This window comes from Homo sapiens, chromosome 6 (genome assembly GCF_000001405.40).
Source record: "Homo sapiens chromosome 6, GRCh38.p14 Primary Assembly".
NCBI classification, from domain to species: domain Eukaryota; kingdom Metazoa; phylum Chordata; class Mammalia; order Primates; family Hominidae; genus Homo; species Homo sapiens.
In genome coordinates, this window is record NC_000006.12 from 161,385,402 (window position 1) to 161,401,588 (window position 16,187).

At 42.8% G+C, this 16,187-nt stretch overlaps 1 protein-coding gene across 6 annotated transcripts in view; it reads right to left on the reverse strand.

Annotated features, from left to right (window-relative positions):
* The window catches only part of PRKN (parkin RBR E3 ubiquitin protein ligase), a 1,380,350-nt gene that overhangs the window by 37,985 nt on the left and 1,326,178 nt on the right, over positions 1–16,187 (reverse strand). For all 6 annotated transcript variants that reach the window (XM_024446449.2, NM_013988.3, XM_011535863.2 and 3 more), the window contains one exon: positions 1,393–1,476. In XM_024446449.2, coding sequence (XP_024302217.1) covers positions 1,393–1,476 — 84 coding nt within the window. The remainder of the gene's footprint in view (positions 1–1,392; positions 1,477–16,187) is intronic.

Sequence of the window (16,187 nt, forward strand, 5' to 3'; positions counted from 1 at the left end):
ATATTAAGGTTTTAACAATTTAAAAACATTTAATTTGGGCTACCTTAATCTTTAACACCAAGGCTGGATGGTTCCTCTTGACTGAAGAATGAATGGGATTAGAGGGAGGGTCAGGCGCCTGGATGGCTTTAGGTTAAGCAATGCTCTTCTTTCCCTTACAGCTACTGTTTCCAAATAAATACTGTAGATGCCAGAGTATCACTTTGTGGAAGCCTCTGCCATGTTTGCAGTCTCAGAGCATATGGATGTAAATTGCTAGACTAACTCCGTTTCCCAGAGCCTCAGGTATACCCGCCTCCATTACAGCGGTCCTGAGGCAGGGGTCTCTGGGCCATTATTGCTTTTGCTGTCAGTACCTGGTAAGCTCGCGTTTGAATGTCCCTGAGCTAAAATAAAATTAACAGAAAGAGCATTTGCTGCCTGGGCTATGGAAATGGCAACTCAGTCCTAAATCCACTCATATGCTCATGGCTGGCAATTTAGGAGCAGACGAGAAGACCCAAATTCACCAGTTCTATTTATTTAGTTATGCTAATATTGGATAAACTCATCTGCAGAATTCCATATAGGGATACACTTATTCATGCTCTGATTTTAGAGCATTCAGATCTTTAACATTCTCTATTGTAAAATCAAAATATTCTGGGATTTCTATGTCTGTTTACTAGGTTCCTATCAGTACAATGACTAAAGGATTTATTTGCAAAGATTTGGTGTTTAAACCCTTGTTAACATCTACATTGGGAGAAAAATAATGAGCAAATTCATCTACTGTGATGACGTTTTTACTCTTTTTCCCTGAAGGTTTGGTTGATCCTAATTAATAAATAAAATAAAATGCATTTGCACTTTCCTAAGACTGAGATAGCACCTTAGAGAGTGAGGCTCGGCCAACACATTCTTTACTTAATGAGGACTGAAACACCAGTTAGCATAGGGCATGATGCTGCTAAAGGACAATGATATCCTTACATAATGTCATCTTTCTGTACATGCCACTCACAGAGGTATTTTCACCAGAGATTCTAAACTAGGGCATTAAAAACATTGAAGTAGACTTAGTATGGATTTCTCTGATTTAGACACTGTTAAGTTGTTTTATTTCCCCTCTAAGGACTCCTTTGAAAATGCTCACATGCCTTGTCCCTGTTCCATATCTGCCCAGGGAAAAGCTATTTTGGACATGCCCCAAGTGGCCACTGGGAAGTCTACACTGTGCCCCAAGGAGGGGAGTCATTCTGGGAGAAGCCACGGCCCCATTCCCATGGCTGTCAGCTACCAGTCTGCTTCTTGCTTTTTTAGAATGGAACTCTCCATGACCTCCAGGAAACGGCTCCAGTCCCCCACTGTATCCGGAGCCCTGCTTGGAGGAATGAGTAGGGCATTCTGTACCTGAGTAGTTGTTCCTGAGGCTTCAAATACGGCACTGCACTCCCCTTCATGGTACGCTTCTTTACATTCCCGGCAGAAGGCAAACTGCAAAAGAACACACATCCATTAATTAGGGACATTAGGTTGCATTTGGCAATAACACATTTTTCCTTTTCCAAATTCATTATATTCATTCCTCTGGCTTGTGCAACAGTTTCTGTATAAAAATACTTTTTTTGCAAAGAGAAATCAAGTTATGTTTTGATGGGATTGTTCACTCTTTACTCAAGAGTGTTCCAAGCACCATAGCAGGGCTACAGAGATGATGGGTCACATTTCCTTCCCTCAAGATGTTTCCAGTCTAGTGGAAGACACAGTGATATGGTTTGGCTGTGTCCCCACCCAAATCTCATCTTGAATTGTAGTTCCCATAATCCCCATGTGTCATGGGAAAGACCTGGTGGGAGGTAATTGAATCATGGGGATGATTTCTCCCATGCTATTCTTGTGATAGTGAGTGAGTTCTCACGAGATCTGACGGTTTTACAATGGGCTTCCCCCTTCGCTCAGCTCTCATTCTTCTCCTTCCTGCCACCATGTGAAGAAGGATGTGTTTGCTTCCCCTTCCACCATGATTGTGAATTTCCTGAGGCCTACTCAGCCCTGCACAAATGTGAATCAATTGAACCTCTTTCCTTTATAAATTATCCAGTCTCGGGTATGTCCTTATAGCAGTGTGAGAACAGACTAATACACACAGTAATGCAAATAAATACCCACAGCAAAGTTTAATTGGTATTAGAATGTAAGGAAAAAACTTCATTCAAGACATTCCCTTTAATATTTGTTTACATTCAATATTTGTTTGCATTCACAGAAGATTTATATGCCCATGTCAGTGGACTTACTTTCGTATTAAAAGCCTATTATGGAAAAAGAAATGGGTGGCTATGGGCTGAACCGTGCCCCCACATAATGGATAGGTGGAAGCAGGACCTCAGAAAGTAACTGTATTTGGAGACAGGGCCTTTAAAGTGGTAAAGGGAAGATGAGGTTGTTAGGGGAGGCCTTCTTCAATCTGACTGGTGTCCTTACAAGATGAGGAGATTAGGACAGAGACACACGGACTGAGAGATGATGAGCAGCATTCACCATGGGACTGAAGACGCCCAAGGAACCAATGCCCTCTACCCGCCATCGTACAAAGAAGAAAGCTGGAAGAGTGAATGCCAGAGAGGCTCGTTTAGGGCTGTCTGTCTGGGATCCATGGACCTCTCCTGAAAGCACGTCCCATTCTCATCGCCACCAGCCATGCTCTGAAGTTACTGTCACGGTTGAGTTGTGGATCAGCAGTGGAACACACCAGACTGGAGTCATCATCCCATCCCCTGCCACCTGAAACACCTTGGGAAAGCCACCTTGGTTTCTGTGCCTTGGTTTCCACCTTGGAAATGCTAGGATAACAGCGATAGCTTTCTCATATGACCCCTGGGAGAGGTAGTGAGATAGCACATGCTGAGTGGCTACAATCACAGCATACAATGTGTTCTAAACTTTAAGGAGATAAGAACAACAGGGACTATTTTGCCCCTACTCCATTTCATAGGAAGGAGTTTCCTCACCAGAAAACTGGTTTCTTTCAATGGAACTTTCTTTAATAAGTTGTAGGCAACATCTCCCACAGCAGAAACTGTATTCAGAGAAGGCATTTCAGCAGAGGAGAGAGTGCCATCCACAAGTATGGTGTGTGGATGATGGTGGTGGTCTTAGAGCATAGAGGCAAACTGACAGTATCCTCTTTCCCTTGAGAGGTGGGCTTTATGTCTCTTCTGCTGACAGCCAGATGTGTTGAGTACTTGACTCCTAGAATATGGTAGAAATGATGGTGTACCACTTTCTAGGCCCAGGCCTCAAGAAACCAGAAGCTTCCATTTCCTGTTGGGACACTTGCTCTTGAAGCCCAGCTGCCATATGGTAAGGAAGCTCAACAGCCCATGGGAGCCCCACATGGAGAAGAGCTGCGGCCTCAGCCGCAACAATAGCCCTGTCTGAGCTTTTAGTAGACAGCCAGCACCAACTTGCCAGCTATGTGACTGGGTCATATTCCAAGTAGACTGTTGTTATTTGAAATCATTAAAGTTTAGGGTGGTTTTTACACAGCAATAAATAACTGATACAGTAATAAATAAGAATATAATATGCTGAAAGTAGTGTCTGGAAGATTCAAAAATTTACAGAGACTTACAAGTTCTCAAACTAATATTTTATAGTATAAGTTAGGAATTTAGCCTAATTTTGCTTAAGACAGGACTGATTTGAATTGAAAAACAAAAATAATAGAAACCAGGATATAAAACCAACTCTATCCCAAAATATACCATAATTCCTCCTTGCCTCAAAAAAGAATGGCTTTTACTCAACACTATTTTTCCTTCATGTTGTCTTCACCATGTGAACAGAGTTTTCTCCTTTCCTACGTCCAATTTCTTGTTTTAAAAGTTCATCTGAAAAGTATTTTAATCTCAGGACATCAGAAACAAAAAGGAAAAGCATTTTATAAGGAAACAATCTCTTCAGAGATATGCCACAATTGATCTTCAAGCCATCACTTTTAGCATATTATATTCTTATTTCTTCTCACAGCAGAGAGACTGAACTCAAATTTAGTGAAATGTAAACTTTATTTAAAGGTTGGTGGGACAGCGTGTGTGCATCAGAACGTCCTTACACAAATCACCAACATTACCTGGTTTCAGCTTCTGACATCTTATTTTCTCTGAACTAAAAGCGAATTCACTGAATAGTGAGTTGAGTTCTAGGATTTTCTCCTATTTTTAAAAACATTTATCTGTTAATACTTGGGTCTGCCTCACACTCATTCCTCTGCTCTTACATGCTTTGTTGGAAAAATGTGGACGGGAGGCCCAATCATGGAGAACTGGCAATGGGGTCTCAGCCCACTGCTTTCTAGAGAAGCAAATCTTATCTGTTGGTGTGAAAGGGAAAACCGTTCACATCTTATTAGCTCGTGGATGAGATATAAAATCAGTTTCATGGTAGAGGAACACCCTGGAGGCTGATCAGTTTGTCAGAATAAATAGGCTTTTCCTGACACAAAGACATTAAATTCCCTTTCACACCAGTACTACAAAGAATGGACTATTGAGAAATAAGAGAAAGGGAAGAGCATATCAAATGAAAGCCTCCCCACTTTAGCATGGCAAAAGGCAAGCAAATGCTGCAGGAATATTCCGGTGATGACTTCACAGGGAGGCACTGGCTAATTTGCTTCTATTCAAAGTATAATTTAAATTTAGATCTATCATGCAGTGGTCCTTCCCAATTAAGTAACATGAATCTGTCTCATGTGCAATGTAGAAGGTCTGATTTGATCTTGAAAATGTTTGGGTTTTCAATTACATTATCCAGGACTCAAGACTCTCAACCTTCAGTTCTCACACTACGCACCAGAGTGCCCTGCGGTACTGTAACAAACTCACAGGGGTGCCTGGGATATTCTAGAATTTTAAGTAAAACACAGCATGGCTATTGAACACTATGTGATTTATTAACTCAAGGTAGTTCCCAGTGTTAATGTAGATTGTGCTATTTTCCTTTTGGTGACATTGTATCTTTGCAAAGGTGGGCTTTTGGAAGTTACCAGAATAGAAAACAAATACCATGTAAACATCCATTTGGAACAAAGATGTGATTTATTTATTTATTTATTTATTGAGACAGAGTCTTGCTCTGTTGCCCAGGCTGGAGTGCAGTGGCACCATCTCGGCTCACTGCAACCTCCGCCTCCCGGGTTCAAGCAATTCTCCCGTCTCAGCCTCCTGAGTAGCTGGGACTACAGGCGCCTGCCACCACGCCCGGCTAATTTTTGTATTTTTAGTAAAGACGGGATTTCACCATGTTGGTCAGGCTGGTCTTGAACTCCTGACCTCAGGTGATCCACCCGCCTCGGCCTCCCAAAGTGCTGGGATTACAGGCATGAGCCACCGTGCCTGGCCAAGACGTGATTATTTTTAAGAATAAAATAAAGCTAATTTTTCCTTCCATTTGTGTGAATTATCATTTCAGATAACTATTAAGTCGTTATGACATTAATTCTTACTATGCTACGTGGTACAAAACCTTTCATAACCACAACTGTTAGGCATTTCTTTTGGCCTAGAAATACCGTGAAAAATGTACTGAACCGCTAAGGGCATGGGGAACAGAATTCTGGGGAACTCTGGGTTAGGCAGATACAAAACTCCTTCTTAAGACAGTGTTCGGGCCAGTTTGCAAACACTTCCCATGGCATAGCTGTTTCTAGAGAAAAAGCTTGCCGGGGAAGAAAGCAGACCTAGCTCCAACATTTTCACATCCATTCTGCTGAGCTGCATGTCTCATATCTGGGGCGCCTGGATCCTTCTTTAACCAACCATGTAGAAGGCTGAAATTTACCCAGGGATTTGCTATTACTTAAAAATGGTCTTACATTTGCTGAGGCTCCCTTAAGCTGCATAATACCTCTCCAAACCTTATGAGTCAACATTAACCGAATGGAAGTTAGTATACCAGGAAACATGGAGTCCTGTTTATACCGTATACATTTTCAGGATTGTCTTCTCTTGTGGTGGATCTAACAAATGTGATCCATTTCCGTAGAGTTGTTTTTTTTTTTCGAGAAATTTTAAATGTCTTTAAACAATCATAAAATAATACATACTTATTTCATTGGCTCTCTAAAGTCTATTCCCTTATAGATTTGGTTAGAAGGCAATCAAACACATGGACTGTATTATAGTCCCTGTGACGAGAGTTTATGTATTAACTTGGCTAGGCTATGGTCCTCAGTTACTCAAGCAGACACTAATCTTGGTGTTTCTGTGAAGCTTTCTTGTAGATGTGACTAGGATCTATAATCAGTTTATTTTAAGTAAGAGAGATTATCCTAGATAACCTGAAGGGGGCTGATTCAATCTGTGGAAAGGCCTAAGAGCATAACTGAGCCTTCCCTGAGGAAGAAGAGATTTCACCTGTGGACAGCAGCGTCAGGCTGTGCTCAAGAGTTCCAGCCTGCCCTTCCTGATGGCCACTCTGTGGATTTAGGAGGTGCCTACCCAGCCCTGAAACCGTGTAAGCCACTTCCTTCCAGTAAATCTCTCCATATATCTGTGTATACACAGATATATAGATACAATGTGTGCCTGCATGTATATATATGTAGGGATATACACATATATATGCATATATGTGTGTATGTGTATGTATATTTGATATAAGCATCCTGCTGGTCTGGTCTCTCTGGTGAAGCTCTGGCTGATAAAGCTCCTATAGAAACAAATTATTTTTAATAGAGACGGGGTTTCACCGTCTTGGCCAAGCTGGTCTCGAACCCTGACCTCGTGATCCGCCTGCCTCGGCCTCCCAAAGTGCTGGGATTACAGGTGTGAACCACCAATACAAAAATTAGCTGGCATGGTGGCAGGCACCTGTAATCCCAGCTACTTGGGAGGCTGAGGCAGGAGAACCGTTTGAACCCTGGAGGCGGAGGTTGCAGTGAGCCAAGATTGTGCCATTGCACTCCAGCCTGGGTGACAGGGTGAGACTCTGTCTCCAAAAAAAAAGAAAAAGAAAAAATTTAACAAGGTCACTTTATTCCCAATCTTTTGCAAAAGAACTGATGTAATGAAAACTATTTAAACTTTCCCTGTTATTTGCAAAATTATAGTTCAAACCTCTCTCTCTCTCTCTCTCTCTCTCTCGCTATATATATATACATATATAAATTCCAGGTAGCCATATGGCAAATTCCTCTCAGAATTCAACACCAGGAGAAAGTTCACCACTTCCAACAGTGTGGTGGTTTCCTTTCATTTGACAATAAACATGGTCACCTAATACATTCTCCTTGGTATGTTTTCAAGCTTGAGAGCTTGGTGCCACACTTTTAACTTAATTCTAGTCATCAGCTTATCCTAAATGCCTAAAAGGAGGTATAGAATAAAAAAAAAAAGATTTAATAGAGGCTAAATTCAATAAGCCAATTTTTTTCTATTGCATAATAGCTAAACTATTCTTAACATTGAAGTCATATTTTTGTCTTGCAACTAATATGTGTTGAGTATTTACTTTTAGGATGAGTAAAATCTTGGCCCTAGGCAACATATAAAAGAATAGCACATTTTAATCTGTGAAATCGTGTACTAGATCTTTACATGTTTAAATACCAGATGTAGATTAGTGTTTAGAAGTGAACCCTTTGAGGTAGAGAGACCCGGAGTCTGAGGCCTCTTGGATCATTTATTATCTGTGTGATCCCAACATCTCTTTGCTTGAGCTTTTTTGCATCTACAAAGAAGAAATAATAAGATAAAGAATATTTAACACAGTTTCTGGTACACAGTAAACACAACAACACAACAAATAGTTTTCTCCATGGGGCTATGATGTTTAACAAGTGGTAAGAGTCTGTAGAAAAATAAGAGGGTAGTAAGCGCCTTGTTAATTAAAGCAGTTCCCAGTATACTGATAATAATGACTGTTATGTGAATCTCGGGTAAAACTGACACCTCCCCAGAAATGCCACACTTGTAAACTACTCATAAGACATAAGACTGCTGTCTAGAAAGGGATGAGGCCTCTCTTTGCTGGTATACATGCTGAGGTAAGTCACTGTCAGCCCCCTTAGACGCTCTGTACTACCAGAGAGCTATGTGAATGGCCCATCATGCCTCTCATTCAATATCATGTCAGTGCAGTAGTCATTTGATTGATGTTTGAGTTTGCTTTCCCATATTTCCATAATGAACACATTCAAAAGGGGCTGTATGTGTACTTTCTCTGTGGAAGCATGAAAAGGAAGCAAATGAACAGCTTCTAATGCAATCGGAATATTCCAGTGGCTGCTGATCAATCAGGTTGAGAGCCAGTAGGTACCTACAAGCAATGACCCTTAAAATAAGGCTTGATGATGATCTCTCTATGGAAGCCAAGATTTCTTTGTGCCTGTTTTCTATCATGGCTGCATCTATTATAAAAGCATTCTATTATGTGCATTTATTTTTCTTCCACGGCTCTGAAATTCTGTGTTAAAAGAATAGGAGAGAATCAAATACCATCTTAGGACCCCTTACTAGAGTCAAGGCAAACATCAAAGGCATGAAGCACACATTTGTACTTCTTTGGGAATAGATGAAATATTTTTCTTTTTGGTGTGTAGCTTTCCAGAAGATGGCAGCAGAGATACGTAAGTCCAGCCTCTGTAAAGGGAATCTATCAAGAGAGGAAGTCTCCCTATGAGTCACCAGCCGCTGATATATGCAAAACTCGTTCTGACAAGACAGTGCCACAGAACGGAGATGGTGTTAGATTATAATGCATTAAAACACAATTTTGAAAAGAAGAAAGTAAGGTTATTTCCTTTCAAGTACACAACATCTTAAAATCACAGACTCTCATGGTGTGAGGCAATCTTAAACTGTGCTAAGCTCCAAATGCAAACAGACGAAGACAGTGTTCTATGTGTGGTCTCCAAAGGGCTAAAAAGAAAGAATTTTCAGGAGGCTGGATACAGCTCTGTAGAGTACCCACGTTCCTTTGTCTTTCACAAATTCTGTACTAATCCCCAGGGATATTAAACAATGCCAATTAGTTTCCCACAAAATATTGTGACCTCCAACACCCTGCAGCCCTAGGCTTATTTTTGTTTTAGGTTTGCTCTTTGAACAGGTCCTTACTTTCTTTGGTTTAATTTCCATTCTTGCAAGCTCTGAAAAGATCCCCGAAAATCCCCTTTTCTTACACCAACATCTATCATCATGCGCGTGCACGTAACCATCCCATCTTTCAGTTGTGCAGTCTGCACTGACCCACTCACTATGAGTACCGTCTAGTAGGAAACTTTAGTACCACCTGTCTCAGAACTAGGGCCCCTCAGAGAAGATGAGTTCATGCAATGAGGAGAAAAGACCCACTGAGCTTACTTTCAACAGGCTGACCTCAGCACCTCACATTAAAAGATCCATGATAAGGTGGTCCTCCTGACAATGGTTCTGCTGGGAATTAACTATCCAGTCTATAATTACGGACAAAGACATTTACATTTACTTCCTACTCCAAAATAGTTTTGATTTTTACCATAACTTAAAGGGAAAATAAACTTAAAAATGTGTATTGGCCATTTATTTTTTTCTTTTCTTTAAGAGCGTTACTGAAATATCATTTGCAGAGTCATGGATTTTTAAAAAGTAGGTATTCTTTGAATGCAAAATATGTGCAGGTAGCACAGATTCAAAAGGTACATTGTGAAAAATGTCTCCTTTCCTCCTTGGTCAGCTACATAGCTTCCCAGAGACAATCACTGTCACCTGTTTGTATAGGTATTGTTCCAGAAATATGTTCTGCACTCAATCATCAATTTATGCTATTTTTAAACAAAAATACCCTATAAAACATTGTATAATGTGCTGTACTCTGCTTGTTGGTTTTTCGTTTAATGCATGCTACAGATGGCTGTCTATTAGCACACGGAGAGCTGCTCCATTCTTCCTGAACAGCCACACAATATTCCAGTGGATAGATGTGCCTTCGTTCATTTCACCAGCCCCTCCGATCAGCATTTAGGTCCTTCCAATATTTTGCCATGACAAACAAAGCTGCAGGGAATGTCCCGCTCTTCAGGTCATTTCACACATGTGAAAGGAAATCTGTAGCAGAAATTTCTAGACATGAAATAGCTGGGTCCAAGGGCATATGGACTTTCCATTTTGATTGCTTTCGCGAGCCTTGTCAGTCACAGGCTTAGCAGCAAGGTGGGTGGAAGCTGCTTCCCCAACACGCTGTGGTCTCAACCACCGCCTTTGTCAAGCTGCTTTAAAAGAATATCAAATACATCCCAGCACTTTTGCTAAGACCTTCTTTATACATGTTTTGTCACCACAGAGTTGTGTTCCTAGCCAAAGCAATTACTCTGACCACGTTTAAGTCTTGTCTACACAGCCAAAGCTGGGTCAGGAGTGGCCTGTGGTCAGGCTCACTCTGACTTTCCTCAGCTCAACACACATGGAGCTGGTCGTCTCATTCTGATGGGCCTGAATCTGGCCCGCCTGCCAGGAAAGGACTTGTAATGAATTTAAGCTCAGCGGCTTTAAACACAGACAGCCAACAAATTAGAGGTCCAGGTTAGAGAGAAAGAAACAGTGAATGGGGGAACGGCAGCTTCCCTCACTTGTGGCTGTGTCGTGAGCCTCAGCTTTGCAGACTTGGCTCTCAGTGACGCTTGCCAGGTGACCTGACTGCAGCAGTCTGCCAGAGGACAGGGGAAGCTGGGGTGGGAGTGCTGTATGCTCTCGGTCCCTAATCCCCCGCCTCTTTTCTTACTTTCTCTTTACTGTAACCATTTCTGAAAACAATTCCTATGGGGACAGTCCTTATCTTCCAAGGTCCCCAGCTCTGGCATTTGTGTCATGGCTTACCTTGTTCCCAAAGGCTAAGGTAGGACCTGGTTGCAAGCTGGAACTCTTGTTCAATGATATGTTCACACCATCCTGTTCATCTAAACAAACTTCTTGGCGGGCAAATTTCAATATCTAACTGAGAATTCCCTTTACCATCCTGCAAGGCCTGCCCAATTTTGCTTTAAAATGAGCATTTCTCAGACCTTATGGAGCAGTTGGCTCCTTCTAGAACTGGAGCACTGGTCACAGAGTATCAAATTCAATGCCACTTTCAAACATCGCCATTCATTAGTGGGCCCATTCAAATATTGCCATTAATTAGTGAACATGTTTGAATATGGCCATTCATTAGTAAAACGCACAGCATATGTCTTCTATAATTTTTAACTGGTCCCTAATCCTCGTGACCTTATCATTTACAATCTGCAGCAAGGCACTAGACTCTGTAGAAATGATTACGCTACGCCAGTAAAAATGTGAAATCCAAGCCATATGGCAATTTGAGCCCAATTTGTCCCATGTGCCTGTGGGTATCCTTATGCTCTCTAGCACAGCAGGGGAGGCGAAATGCTTTCCCTGAATACCTGGGCCCGCCCTGGGCAACTTGGGGCAAGGCCAGCTTTGGAAAGAGGCCTGAACATGTTTGGGGACACCCTGCCAGCACATCTTACAGACTTTTGTCTTTGGAGGTTTTGCAGCTCCTCAATGATCAATCAATCAATCAGTCAAAATGATACATTAACCCTTTATTGTATGTTGAGCAGTCTCATAGGTGCCCTGCAGGTATACCTGTTCTGGCCCCTTTCCCCTGCAGCCTCAGCCAAAATGATCAAGGTGTTTTCTTCCCAAGCCCTGTTTCTTACTCATACCTCTATTAAACTGTTTCACCCTCTATATGAAACTGTCTCCACCTATCTCCTCTTCTAAAGGGATAGGATTTGTATCTTATTCATCTTTGTCTTCCCAAGATCCAGGTGCTAGAACATAGTAGGTGATCAGTGTCTCTTTGTGGCAATCCAGGTGCTGGAGTCAAGTAGCTTACAGCTAAGGTGGATGTTTATAAAGCATAAAAGAGCTGAAGGACAATTGTGTACTCCATGATACAATGCACAATCATGGGTTGAATTGAGTATTCTTGTGTAAGTCTTAAGGGTCCCATAGAAGAGATCCAGGCGGGTTGAGGTCAGTGGGTAAGAGCACGTGGAGATAGCATTTGTTTTTCTGCCCTTCACATTTGCCCCTTCAGGGAGCATTCTAACATCAAGCTTAATTGACTGCCTCTCTTCTAACAACTTCTCAAAATCTATTCCACCCTTCCCAACTCCTCTTTTAAGATGCACTTTGCCTATTGCATATTTCCATTTGGATAGGTTGCAGTCACCTCAAATTCAAGTCACTTCTAATTCCACGTGATTATCATGAAGTTGCAAGGACCTAACAGAATAATGGCAATCATCAAACCTTTGCAGAATAAACAAGCAGTAGTAGCTGGAAAAGCCTCAACTTCTGAGAAGCAGAAGAGGATAGCACAGTGCTGAGGAAACCCAGTACTGAGAATGGAGAGGTCAATCCTGAGTACAAGAGGAATAACTAAGACTTTCTGCCAGGGAAAGTACTTTAGTGACCTCGGAGGCCATAATTTTGGTCCAATGGTTCAATGGTCAGCTAGATTCAGAGGCTAAGATCACAGGCATGATGGGGTGGAAAAGGCTTCACAACAGAGAGCTCTGAATCAGTTTGAAAACAGCAAAAGATGATGAAAAGAGAGAGAATGAAGACGCTAGCCAGAGAGGGGGCAGGATGGGAGTGAAGTCCCAGAGAAAGTCGAGGCTAGGGAGACACACTCAAAGGTTTATGGCTTTCAATGGAGGAGGATAAGGTTTTGCAGCAAAATCCTAGGAGAGTCACATTGATGAGAGAGTTTTCTCAAGGAGATGACACCCATGCCCTTGGTCTTCCTAACAGAGCACCATAGCAGCTCTGAATCTTCTGGAGTCTAGGGGGAGAGGAGAGTCACAGATAGAGAGGAGGCTGAAACAGTTACTGTCAGTTGGAGCATCCATGAGACATGAATTGAAGGGACGCCCATCCATGTTGATAACTAAATTCACATCACAGCACTGGCTCTAGTTAGTTCCCTAGAATGTGGTTCCCAGACTAGCACCATCAGCATCACCCAGGAGCATGTCAGAAAACCCGAATTTCAGGCCCCACCCAAGAAGTACTAGACCAGAATCTTTCATTTTACCAGGATCCCCGAGTGACTTGTATGCACCATTTAGAGACCCTGTTCTAGCTCATTCATTCAACCAAAAGTTCCTACTCAGGAACTCCACTCAGAATGTATGCTGTGCATTGCTGGAGCCTGCAAAGATGCAGAACGTATGTAATTTCCAGTTTCAGAGGAGTCACAATTCACCTCTCCCTTGCTCTACCCAATGCTCCCTCCATTCCACAAGTACTCATCAAGCATGTACTGTGTGTGAATGGTAAGGCACTGGCCATTCTTCATGGCCTCACAGAGTTCACAGTCAGCTGTGTCCTGATCATATGATGGATGTGAGGTTCCATGGGAGCACAGTGTTGAACCTGGGAGGTGCAGGTTGTAGTGAGGAGATGAGGAGGTTACAGACAGGAGACAGGGAAATATTGGGTAGAAGAGGGCAGTTCCCCAGCAAAGGCCTGACCCTCAAGCCTGGAAACCCATGGCCCTAAATGGGAACAGGCATTCCTGTTTTCACACCCAAATGTTGCCTTTTGGCCTGTCATGCCCCCCTATCCTGTCCCTATATAAACTCCAAACCCCAGGCTCCATGAGCAGAAGAGCAGCAGAGGAGAGAAGAGAAGGAATATCTGAATGTCGAGAGGAGTTCTGCTGCAGACAGTTAGAGAGGAGATTGGCTGCTGGACGGCCCAACTCCAGGGGAAGATCATCTTTCTACTCCATCCCCTTTCCAGCTCCCCATCCATCCATCCCACTGAGAGCCACATCCACCACTCAATAAAACCCTGCAGTCACCATCCTTCAAGTCCATGGGTGACCTGATTTTTCTGGATGCCAGACAAGAACTTGGAATATGGAAAGCTGTCACACTGGCCCTCTGCCCTTGCAAAAAGGCAGAGGGTCCACTGAGCTGTTTAACACTTAAGCTGTCTGCAGACAGCAAAATTAAAAGAGCGCACTGTAACACACAGCTAACTGGGCTTTGGGAGTCACAGGCACCCATCCCTAGACACTACTGTGGGGCCAGAGCCCAGAAGTGCTCGTCCTGGCTCCTGCACCTGCTCATCTGCATGCTCCCCCTCCCATAAGGAGTTTGAGCAGTGGTGGTGGCTGAACTGATGAGCCATATGCCTGTTGCATGTCCTGCAACCGGGGTGGGTCAGGGAACTCTCCCGTTTCAGCAGTAAGAAGAGGAAGGTGAACTGGGACCAATGGAGTTTGCTGGAAATGATAGCCCCCAGAAAGTACCAATCCCAGTGCTAGGGATGATGCCAGCATTCTAGTGTAATTCACTCTGCTAGTGTAATTCTGCAACACTTTTGTCTTTTTGATTTTGAAACCACCGTGAAAGGATACAGCCTAGAACAGTGCTGTCCAATTGAAACAGCAATAATTTTTAATGGTCTAGTAGCTATATGAAAAGAGGAAAAAGAAACAAGTAAAATTAATTTCAATATTTTACTTAACTAAATATATTCAAAATTGTATCATTTCAACATGCAATCGATATAAAAATTGGTAATGAGTTATTTTATATTCATTTTTACTAAGCTTTTGGAATCGGGTCTGCTTTTACTCTTTCAATGCATCTCAGTTGGGACTAGCCCTATTCTATGGGCTCAGGAGCCTCACGTGGGCACCATGTTGGACAGGAGCCTCACAGGGCTAGTGGCCACCATGCTGGCCACCACGCTGGACTGCGCAGGTCTACAAGGACCCTGCTGTCTGAGGACTCCTTGCACGATGCAGAGTTCAGTTAAGGGTCCACAGAACAAAAGCGACAGAACACCTCCAATATTTTAGAAGAAAGTAGGATGAGGTGAGCTGGGGACATGGGGAAGATTAGAAAATTAAACCTAATCTTTTTTTTTTTTTTGAGATGGAATTTCACTCTTGTCACCCAGGCTGGAGTGCAATGGCACGATCTCCGCTCACTGCAACCTGTACCTCCCAGGTTCAAGCAATTCTCCTGCCTCAGCCTCCCAAGTAGCTGGAATTACAGGTGTGTGCCACCACGCCCAGCTAATTTTTGTATTTTTAGTAGAGACGGGGTTTCGCTTTCGCCATATTGGCCAGGCTGGTCTCAAACCCCTGACCTCAGGTAATCCGTTCCCCTCAGCCTCCCAAAGTGCTGGGATTACAGGCATGAGCCACCACGCTCGGCCGAAAATTAAACGTATTCTAAGACAAAGAAATTCAGATTTTTTTTTTTTCGAATAAAGGATGCTGTGTTTATTTTCAGCCTTTGGACGACCCATATGAGTTTCACTTCACACTGTGTTGAAGAAAAGAGCTGCAGGGGACAGAAAATCAGTCAAATTAAAGAAAATATGAGGCGTAACTGCCCTGCAGTGAGAGCATATGAATTTTTCTGCCACACACTCTGAGTCATTTGTTAAAGAAAGCCAGAGAATAAGAACTGTCCTGGGTTATCGCTAACTTTCACTGTGTCTGATTTACTTGTTTGCACACTTTGTCAAATCTTGGACCAGGGACAGATAGCGTCCAGGCCATTACTCAAGGGGAAGACTGTTGATCAGAGTACACTGCAAACAAACATCTGTTTCTGATGGCTGCAGCACCATCCTTCATTATAGAATGAGCTTAATAAACACGAAGTCATAGAAATCCACCATTCACGTAAGTTTTGGCCTGGTGTTATTGCAGTCTCTTAATTTAGCCAACAAAGAAGGTTGGCTCAAAGACACCTGTTTTTGCATGTAAAGTATCAGGCTGGAAGGCTTGGTCGGGCATGGTTTTAGCAACAGGACTTTCATTTGTGATAGTTCAGTCACGTCCTGGGGAATTGAGGAGAAGATCCACCCTACCAAAGGCCAGTCTTGCTTTAGCACCAAAGAATTAATTTTAAAAGTTAGAGTTGGCCGGGCATGGTGGCTCACATCTGTAATCCCAGCACTTTGGGAAGCCAAGGTGGGCAGATCACCTGAGGTTAGGAGTTTGAGACCAGCCTGGCCAACATGGTGAAACCGCATCTCTACTAAAAATACAAAAACGTTAGCTGGGCGTGGTGGTGGACGCCTGTAATCCCAGCTACTCAGGAGGCTGAGGCAGGAGAATTGCTTGAACCCAGGAGGCGGAGGCTGCAGTGAGCCGAGATTGTGCCACTGCACTCCATCTTG